The sequence below is a fragment of the Homo sapiens genome, chromosome 10, assembly GCF_000001405.40.
Source record: "Homo sapiens chromosome 10, GRCh38.p14 Primary Assembly".
Taxonomy (NCBI): domain Eukaryota; kingdom Metazoa; phylum Chordata; class Mammalia; order Primates; family Hominidae; genus Homo; species Homo sapiens.
The window spans coordinates 118,496,487-118,507,323 of record NC_000010.11 but is presented as its reverse complement, the minus strand read 5'-3'; the positions used below and the strand labels follow the sequence as shown (position 1 = coordinate 118,507,323).

General features: G+C 40.9%; 1 long non-coding RNA gene across 1 annotated transcript; it reads right to left on the bottom strand.

Moving 5' to 3' along the window:
• Positions 1-647: 647 nt before the first annotated feature.
• Positions 648-9,149, bottom strand: LOC105378507 (uncharacterized). Its single transcript, XR_946354.2, has 4 exons — positions 9,113-9,149; positions 8,138-8,217; positions 5,164-5,228; positions 648-877 (listed from the first exon to the last, which is right to left on the bottom strand). It is a non-coding gene; the product is annotated as an uncharacterized LOC105378507 (long non-coding RNA).
• Positions 9,150-10,837: the final 1,688 nt, after the last annotated feature.

Here is a 10,837-nt window from a genome sequence, read left to right as displayed (position 1 = left end):
AAACAGACTGTGATTTGGGGAGAGAAAAGGGATGTCATGGAACCCCCCCCCCACCCCCAGTAGCTATCTTTAAGCTCTTAGGTCAGAGGGAGGAGACGGGCATGAGATGCAAAATGAGGAGGTTATTTAAACTCCCCAAGGCTCAGCTTCCCCTTTGTAAAGTGGAGAGGATGATTTCAGGGTTGCCATGAGAATTAAATGACATAAGATGTGTTAATTGCCTGAAATGGCATCTGGCACACAGTAGGCTCTCCACAAGTGGAAGCCCTGATTACCGGGGCAGAGAAGGATTACGCGAATAGGTGTGAGGCCTGTTTGACCCTCTTGGGGCTCAAATACTGCAGAGAGTAGCAGAAAGACTGAGGAGGGGTACCTGGACTGTGGCCAGAGAGGCCAGGGCTGCGGGGATGAGTGTGATGCTGGGGAAAGTTGCTGTCAGTGCTACTTGGACTTTGAGGCACCTGGTCCAGCAAACCCTGAGTGGTCTCATGAACATTTCTGTCTCTTTCCTCCAAGAGTGGCCTAGCAGGCAGTGTTCAGCTAGAGGGAAATAAAGCATGCCCTAGAGGTGAGCTTGTAGGCTTGGGAAAAGAGAATTTACTGACAAATGCTGGTGATCTGGGTGAAATCTGTGTAATACAGAAAAGATCTTACTATAATCAGGGCCCTGCTTAACCGCAACAACTTTACACTTGTTTCGGCTGTGGAGACTTTGACTAGGAAATAATGTGTTCTTCTTTCCCCTTAGTAATTGAGAATACATAACAACATCAATAATTGTAATCACTATAAAGTTGAGGAATGAGATTGCTTGGGTTGGATCCCAGTTCTGGCACTTGAAGCCTGGCGGGTTGCTTATCTCTGTATGCTTCAGTTTCTTCACGTGTAAAATGGAGAGAAATGGTAATGAATACATTATATGATCCATATAAGTATACATAATTATATCCATATTAATATATTAGTCAGATTAACATATATTAATATATTTATTTATATATTATATATTTATAAATAATTTATATATTAAATAATATATTTAATTTATTTATATATTAGATTTTTTTATATATAATCTATCTATATCTACTATCTAATCTGTAAATGTATAATCTGTATATTATCTAAATAATATATAGATATAGATATCTATAATAGTATATATTATATATTATATAATATAATATATATTATATATTATAATATACAATAATATATATAATATATAATATAATTTATATATTATATATTATATATAATATATAAATTATATATATTATAATTTATATAATTTATATATTATATATAATAATATATAAATATAACATGTAAATAAATATATAATATATTATATTATATATTTATTTACATATTAAATAAATGTTAAATATATTAAAAAATATAATATATTATATATTTATTTACATATTAAATAATCCATCTATAATATATTATATATTTATATATTATATATTTATTTACATATTAAATAATCCATCTATATATAGATATCTATATCCACAGATATAGATATCTATAATATATATTTAATATTATATATAATATATATTTAAATATTATATATTTATTTACATATTAAGTAATCCATCTCAGCAAGTGCCCACTAAATGTTAGCTCGTGGTCTATTTATTGAGCACTATGCAATGCCAAGCATTGTGCAGGTATGAGCCTGGGGCTGGCTGAAAGTTCTCCTTGCAACCTTGAGAGATAAGGAGATGGAGCCTCAGAGGGGTGAAGTAACTTCGCCAAGGTCACACAGTGAGAAAGTGCCTGAACTGGTCTTTTTTGCCTCTATTTCACCACCTACAACATCAGGCTAGGTTTCCATACTGGGATTTGAAACAGACCCACGAGAAGAGTGTGTAAGTGATTTGAACAGAGAACTCAATGGGAGCTTAAAAAACAAATCTTCTTTGTATTATTCACTTCTCATTTTAAGTGGCACGAACATAGTTTATAGCCTAAAAGTTACTTGCACAGCGTCGGTAAAAACGTGTTCATTTGTCATGTATAGATTGTTTTATTTTTAGATTAATGAAGATCCAAATTAAACCATCGGAGTGCAATCATCCTGATGGTCCTTAACACATTTTGCTCATTATCACTTCATTTATATTTATGATGAAGAACAGATGGTACCAATGTCATATTTCAATGTGTATCATATCCAGCTACGAGGATATATCTCATATTAGCTGCACTTATCAAAATATTTGTACTTAACAACAACAGAAATCTGAGCTTATGTACTATCTTGTCACCATGTCATAGCTACCATTTAGAAAAAAACCATTTAAATTAGATACGCTAGGGAAAGAATGCATCCTTCATTATTATTGAACGAATTTCACTGAACTCTGAAAAGTAATTATGGGTTCGTTGTAAGGAGAGAATCATTAAGCTTCAGTGGAAAACAGCAATTACAGTCTGTTGTTTTTGTGGCATGATCAGATTTTTTGATGTAAGCTGCTTTTGGAGAGCACTGAGAAGGAAACAGAACAATGGGTGATGGTGAAACAAGAGGCTGTAAGGCAGACAATGGGTGTGGCATGGACACCGAACTGATGAGTCAGCCTCCCTTTCTAAATGGTAGCTCTAAGGAGAAGCAGCCTAGGAAAAGCCTAGGAAAAAACTCTTAGAGGTGAGTTAAAGCCCTGAGGATCATTGTTCAAAGGCTTTTTTTGCACGTGTCAATGTTGCACAGTCTCAAAGGGGTGAGGAAATACAGGAGCCCCATGTTCCGCCAAATAACAGTCTAAGTTTCTTTTCTTTCTTCTCCTCCCCTCCCCTCCCTTCCCTTCCTTCCTTCCTTCCCCCTTTCCCTGCTTCCTCTTTCTCTTTCTTTCTTTCTTTCTTGCTTTCTTTCTTGCTTGCTTTCTTTCTTTTCTTTCTTCTTTCTTTCTTTTCTTTTCTTTCTCTGTCTCTCTCTCTCACTTGATCTTAGCCAAAAGGCCATGAAGCCATCTTTTTCTCTGTCTCTTTTTCTCTTTCTCTCCCTTCCCTTCCCTTTCCTTCCTTCCCTTCCCCTTCCTTCCTTCCCTCCTTCTTTCCTTCCTTCCTCTCTTTCTTTCTTTGTTTCTTTCTCTTTCTTTCTTCTTTCTTTCTCTTTCTTTCTTCTTTCTTTTCTTTTCTTTCTCTGTCTCTCTCTCTCTTGATCTTAGCCAAAAGGCCACGAAGCCATCTTTTTCTCTGTCTCTTTTTCTCTCCCCTCCCTTCCTTCCTTCCCTCCTTCTTTCCTTCCTTCCTCTGTTTACTTTTCTTTCTTCCTTTTCTTTTTCTTTCCTTCTTTCTTTCTGTCTTTCTCTTTCTCTCTCCCTCTCTTTCTCTCACTTGATCTTAGCCAAAAGGCCATGAAGCTATCTTTTCTCTCTCTCTTCTTCCTCCCTTCCTCCCTTCCTCTTTCTTTCTTGTCTTTTCTTTCCTTCTTTCTTTCTTTCTTTCTTTCTTTCTTTCTTTCTCTCTCTCTCTTTCTTTCTTTCTTTTGATGGGTACTCACTGTGTCACCCAAGTTGGAGTTCAGTGGTGCAGTCACAGCTTGTTGCAGCCTCAACCTCCTGGGCTCAAGCAATCCTCCCACCTCAGCCTCCCAAGTAGCTGGGACTACAGGCACATGCCACCACACCCAACTAATTTTTTTATTTTCTGTAGAGATGGGGTCTTGCCATGTTGCCCAGGCTGGTCTCAAATTCCTGGGCTCAAGTGATCCTCTGGCTTTGGTCCCTCAAAGTGCTGGGATTACAGGTGAAGCCACCATGCCTGGCCTAAGTTTGTTTTCAGATAGGTGGTCAATCAGCATGTACTGAACATCTTATTATGTGCCAGACATCTGAAGGATACAAAGAGGCATGGGACATGCTTCCTATCCTCAAGGAATTGATAGACCCATGTGACATGATAACAAATAATTCTGATGACAAAGCAAAACAAGACAGTGTGTACACGGTGCCAAAGTGGCCCAGAGGGAGGGGTTAGCTCTGTTATGGGAGTCAAGAAGGGCTTCATAAAGGAGCAGATACTGGATCGGCATCCTGAAGGCTGAATAGACATTCAATGTTTACATAAGGAGGTGGGCTTGAAAAACATTCTGTCAGGCAGCAGTTTGTCAGAATGGTCAAGAGCTCTGTTTTGGTGCCAGGCAGATGGACTTTGAGTTTTAATTCTAACTGCTTACCACTTATATGAACTTGGGCCAGTCATTTATTACTTTGTGCCTCAATTTCCCCAAACTACAAAATCAGACCAATAACCATGTCTATTTCATAAGGATGTTGGGACACATTTGTTATAATGCTTGGCACGTAGTGTGTACTCAGCAAATGCCAGCTCTTAATAGCATTCCAGGCAGAGGGCAAGACCTGAGCAAAGGCCAAAAGGCATGAACCAGTGTGGCATTTTTGTATTTTTTTCAAGGCATAAACCTCTAGCAATTGCATATCATTATGTAACTAGAAAGGCTCAGAAAAGATGAAAAGCCAATGACATTACAAAATCTTTAAAGTTTTAAGATGACATTAAAGCCAATTGCATTTGATGATGTAATTTACCAGCAATTTATTTAGGAAACACAACCAATAGAAATCGTATTTAATCTGAGTGAGGATGCTGGATCCTTTCATAAGGGGAAAGGCCTCTTGGAAATGGGCAACTGTCGCAGCCACTTGAAGGACAGGGTTTGGAGGAGCACTGGGCTAGGCGTTGGCCTCAAGGAGCCACAGGCCAAGTGACCCTTCAAACACCAGGCATCTCCTAATTCCTTGCTGAATGACAAGTACTCCTCATGTGAGGCTGACTGCTCTCTAAAAGGGACAAATGATCGACAAGATCCACATATGAAAAGCAGCAAGAATTTTGCAAAAATCTGACTTGAGAAAACTATAACATATTTAACACAAAGATGTATGAGAATGGGTGGTGGAGGTTTGATTTGCTTTTCAGTTAGGACACATTTGCAGATACAGGCATATTCCGCTGGCACATTCTGCTTGGCACTGGATCAGAGACTCATGGTTCTGTGCTCACCAAGTGGGCTGTCCTGTTCCATGACAGTGAAGTAGCAATGCCACCCAGGGTGAGGGGAGCGGAACAGCAGGGCACCATCGTGGGCCCTCAACCGTTCAAGGACATTTTAGTGAACGAGCTCACCTTGCTTTCATTTGCTGTCTGACTGAAGCGCCCTCTCCTTTGAACTCGGCAGGAGTGCCTAGTGGCTGAGAGTGGGGAGAAAGCAAAAGACACTTGTCAGACAGGGCTCTACTGAGGTTTTCTTCTTCCCTGCAACCTGAGCTCATGTGCCTGGACTCTCTCTGCCTTAGGGTGAGGCTTTTCCCAACAGGCTCCTGTTCCCTTGTGCAAATCGATTCTTGGCACATTTTTTCCCTAATGCCTGGGCAAGTCTGAATTCTTCAGAGTCCAGCTTAGGCTGCAAAATAGAACTCCTGCTACACAGTGGCCCTAAACACTCAAAATGATAGCTTGTCAAGACAAGGGAATCCGCAGAGCACAAAGGTGGTGAAATCTCAGTGACTCATGTTCTTAACACATTGCTTCATGCTCCCAGCCAACAGACTCATTTCTGTGGGCTTTGAATTTAGGTTTGGGCCTTCCTCCCCTAAGGCAATGGCATCACAGCCATTCCCAGAAGGACCAAATATAGGGTCATCAGCACAGGGCAAATACCCTATGAAGTTGCATATGAACCTTAATTCCCAAACTCAGGTAAACTAAGACCCCATGACACAAGAGTCTTTTAAGGTGGTCGACCCAAGCGAAGCTGCATCGTGAGAGAGAGATGATCACAGGCTTTGGTATCAGACCGAGTGGGGTTGACACTTGTTTGGCTACCTACTAACCATGTGACCTTGGGCGGTTTACTTATCTAATCTCTGCCTTAGGTTTTCCCATCTGTAAAGGAGCAAAATCATATGTATTTGTGGGGTTTTATGAATAATCATAGGAGATGATGAGTCAAAAGTGCCTCACCTGGGCCCAGCAGCCAGGAGCTGGGATGGTTGCTGGCACAGACGCTGTGGCTGTGACTACACTTCCAGGAGGGCTGTGACCACACTTCCAGGAGGGCTGTGACCCAAGGTCTGGATGTGCAGAGCAGATGAGGCAGGAAGGCCAGGTGAGGGTGAGAGGAAAAGAGGAATAGGGCATTTCTGAGAGGGGGAATAGCAAAGCAAAAGCATGGATAAATAGGAGTGTTGGGTGCAAGGGACTGGAAGAACTCCTTGTAGAGGATCCTTTTCAAGGAATTTTCAAGATCTCAGGGTTTAGATTTAGAAGCCTCCCTGTATTCTCCATCCTCTGCACAACTCCTGGTTAAATCCAGGCCCAGGTGGAATGTTGAGATAGCCTGGTCTAGACTGGTTGATGGGCCATTCGGGCCTTATGCATTTTGTGCAGGGCAGCCATCTGTTTTTATGTCATGATAAGAGATGTCAACAGATATTGTGTTTTTTATGGCAAACTGCCAATGATGCTAAAAGGTAATCACAGGCTATAAATCCACTCAAGTCACGCCAGCAAGGGTTTTTTAAGCATCTACTATGTGCTTAGCACTGTGCCTTAGACTACAATGAATAGACTTAATTTATCTATGCTTCTTTTATTGTTATTTATTTATTTATTTATTTATTTATTTATTTATTTATTTTGAGACAGGGTCTCACTCCGATGCCCAGGCTGGAGTGCTGTGGCGCAATCTTGGCTCACTGCAACCTCCGCCTTCTGGGTTTAAGGGATTCTCGTGCCTCAGCCTCCCAAGTAGCTGGGATTACAGGTACCCACCACCATGTCCAGCTACTTTTTATATTTTTAGTAGAGACGGAGTTTCACCATGTTGGACAGGCTGGTCTCGAACTCCTGACCTCAAGTGATCCTCCCACCTCGGCCTCCCAAAGTGTTGGGATTACAGGCATGAGCCCCCACGCCCAGCCTATCTGTGCTTCTTTTAGATCAAGCTTGGACTAAACAGCTTCTGTGTTTTTCAGTATTTTTTTCTAGTTCTAAACTAAGAGAATGTCCTTAAGGAGCTTAGAAGTGTGCTGAGAGGATACTTTTACTGTGAGAAATATTATAAACAAAATATAACCAAGTACATGTGTTTTACTAGCAATCAGCTTAATTCTGAGTTCATAATAATAGCCACTAAGCAGAGGTCAGTAAGCCTTGTAGTACGCCTCTTAGTATCTAGTATGGGGAAATCACTTCACATTTGGGGCTGCAGAGAATGCAGCCCCAAATCAAACCTTAAATCACACACAACTTTGAAGTATAAGAGTTAACTGTGGAGGAGAGAACATTCGATGTGATGCCACGTTCCCTCTGAGAGTCTGAGCCCAGCGTTTGTGCGACACAAAGTTATTAAAGGTGAGGTTTTCTATTTCAGGTCTGATGGGAAGATTCTATATTTGGTGACTGTAATCACAGATAGATTGAGATGGTTTTTTCCTATTCAGCTGCTTATGAACAAGCACAATTAGAAGTTGACAGCAAACACGCTTCACAAAAATTATCACATTTAGTGTGATTCCCATAATAAAAACAGGAGTGAGCTCAGGAGTCTTTTCAATTTACACAAATAGCCCTGGGGTCTCTCAACAGTCACTGCCGGTCCAATGTTTCTGAGTAAACTTTATTAGGAAAACAGATTGAAAACTCCTGAGGTTTAGTTAAATCTTGGTTTAAAACACACACACACACACACACACAACAGACACATACACACAACAGACACACACACACACACACACACACAGATGAACTCACAACTTCTTATTCTCTCTTTCTTTAGCCAAAGCATCCAAGTAAGCACTACACAGACATGAAAAGAAATAAGAGGCACGAGTGGTCCTACAGCCACCACATTCCATGTGATGTGCTAAGTATTGAAGGCACTTCCTACACGTAGAGGATATTGTGACTCTAAGCCACAGCTGCCTGCCAGCCTCATTATTATTTGCAACACCCACTTGTGTACTATTTTAAGAGGTCTTTTATATATGCTATATGATTTAATCCTCATAAAAATCCTGAGAGAGGTTGATAGAGAAAGTATTTTCTATCTTGGTTTCTAGGGAAGAACAGGTGTTCAGAGGGGAGAACGTTAACTCACCCCAAATCATCCTGCTGTTAGGGGCTGGAGCAAGCCTTGAATCCTGGGATGGATCCTGCCTGATTTTCATGCCCTTGTTTCTTTAGGCATCAGGGAGGCAAGAAATAAACACATAAATTACTTATTCATTTAAAAAACATTCATTGAGCACTTATGCTGTGATTGCTCCATGCTAGGCATCGTGTATACAGTGGGGTGGTGTTTATTATTATTATTTTGTCTGCTCAGTATTTGGGAAACTATCCCTCACTCATTATTCCATAATATTCCTGTTCCTTCTACTTGATTTGGTCAAGGCTGACTCCACCCTCCTGTGGTAAGGGAGGACTGTGTCCCTGACTAGCCAATTAGAATTCCTCCTGCATGCATAGACTCTTGCGATTGGTTCAGGCATGAGCATATGACTTCAAATGGTTCAATCAGAGTCAGCCCTCGAACTTTTCACCAGAGATTTGAGCGACATCATTTACTTCTTTCTCTGGAAATGTAGGGGATCACATTGTCTCCATAGAGGGAAAAAGTATGTGACATTGGAGCAAAGAAAAAGCAAGCAGAGCTGAGAGACAAAGAGTACAAGAGTCATGACAGCTTCATCTGAACTCTGAATCCAGCACTTTGGATTTCCCAGTCACCTGAGGCAATACAGGCTCTTTTTAAAAAAAATTTAATATAATTTGAATTACTCAAGAAAGGAACAAGATAGGTAGGACTCTTCTACTGAAGAGACAAAACAGACAATAAACCAGTAAATGAATATATATGTATCAAATTTCAAAGTGTGGTATGTGTTATAAAGGTTAAACCCAGGGACAAAAGGTTTGACTGAGACAAAAATGCTATGGTCAAAAGAGGGAACTTTAAGTGTGGTCCAGCAGGGACGGGACTTATTTATTAGAGCATGTATTAGTTTGTTTTCACGCTGCTGATAAAGACATACCCCAAACTGGGAACGAAAAGAGGTTTAATTGGACTTACAGTTCCACATAGCTGGGGAGGCCTCAGAATCATGGCGGGAGGTGAAAGGCACTTCTTACATGGCAGCAGCAAGAGACAAATGAGAAAGAAGCAAAAGCTGAAACCCCTGATAAACCCATCAGATCTCGTGAGACTTATTCACTAACACGAGAATAGCATGGAGAACACCGGCCCCCATGATTCAATTACCTCCTCCTGGATCACTCCCACAACACGTGGGAATTCTGGGAGATACAATTCAAGTTGAGATTTGAGTGGGGGCACAGCCAAACCATATCAGAGCTGATGCCACTTATATTGGATTTTGAGTAATAGGAACAGTAATAGTGACAAAGATCTTGACATTAACAAGGACTGTGACAGCTAATATTTATTGACTCAGTGTACGTTATGTGCTATCTTAAATTATTTAACTTCCGTAAAACTGATGAGGTAGGAATTATTATATCTGTGTTTTACTGATGAGAAAATGAGTTCAAGAACCATGAGGTCACTTGCCCAAGGGCCATAGCTGGTAAACTGCATCGCCAGGCTTGAACCAAAGACTGGCTCCAAAACCCATGCTCTTTAATTTTTAGGGTGTGTTGCCAGCAAAGAGGGGAATCGTGTTTCGGATGGGAGTTACGATCCAGAAATTTTCCTTAGGAGAAACAAAAGGGAAAATCTGGGAGTGTCCTGGGGCTTACCTCAACGCTATTCTTTAATATCTTAGTTGACACAATGCATTTATCGACTCCTGGCACAAGCCCGGCACTGGGAGACAGAAGTGCACAAGACTCGGCTCCTGCCCACAGGTTCTCAGCCTTCACCATCTGGAGATAACACAAACAATTGAACACACGTGCAGCCCAGGGCTGAACAGAAGTTTAATTTCCCATTGCTCCATATGCAGTCTTCCCCTCCACTTTTTTCTCCTCTTCACCACCCCTTATTTCTCATTTCTTACATCTTATTTCTTTCCTGACTGGAGCTAAGTTGGAAATGGAACCTGTCGTGGTGTACAATTAGACAGTAAATCCCCTTGGCTTATGTGCCACTCGATCCTTCACCTGCGATTTTGCTTTCTGTGAGTTACTATGTGTGAATTACATACTCGCTGGATGTGAAAATCCAGCCCGATCAAATGCAGACCTTTCCCTGCTCACTGCCCCACCCCCTTCGCTCCCTTTCTTTTATTCATTGCTGTCCTCCACTCTCCCCCCAGGTTTGACAAAAGCAGATTCTTCAAAATTATCCTTCTGGGACTGTCTATTTCATTTTGAACTTGATGCAAAATACTATTTTTGACAGTTGAACTTTTCAGCATGCTTGATAAAAATATTTTAATATCCTGTTACCTGAGCTGAGGGAGAGATAAAGTTTTACACCAGACACCTACAATGGCAAGGGAATACGTTTTCTGGTGACTGATTTAAAGGTACAGTAATAGCAAAATTGTTAATGAGCTAACCATGCTTGGTAGGGCGAAGGTCAACAGGGAAAGAAAACCCTGTAACTCAGCCAGCGCTCTGGGACTCACATGAACAAGGAAATGCTTGCCTGTAGGACAGTGCAATAGTTTCACCCCAAGTACATTCCCAAGAGGCTAGAACAAAAAAAAAAATCAGTTGCCATTGAGGATGTCTCCTGACTTACCCAAGGGATGGAAGGCAGGTGGGAAGATGTGAGAGCAGCCAGGGTGACAAGAAAAGAAGGCTCATGAGTGCTGGTGCGTTGGACAAGATG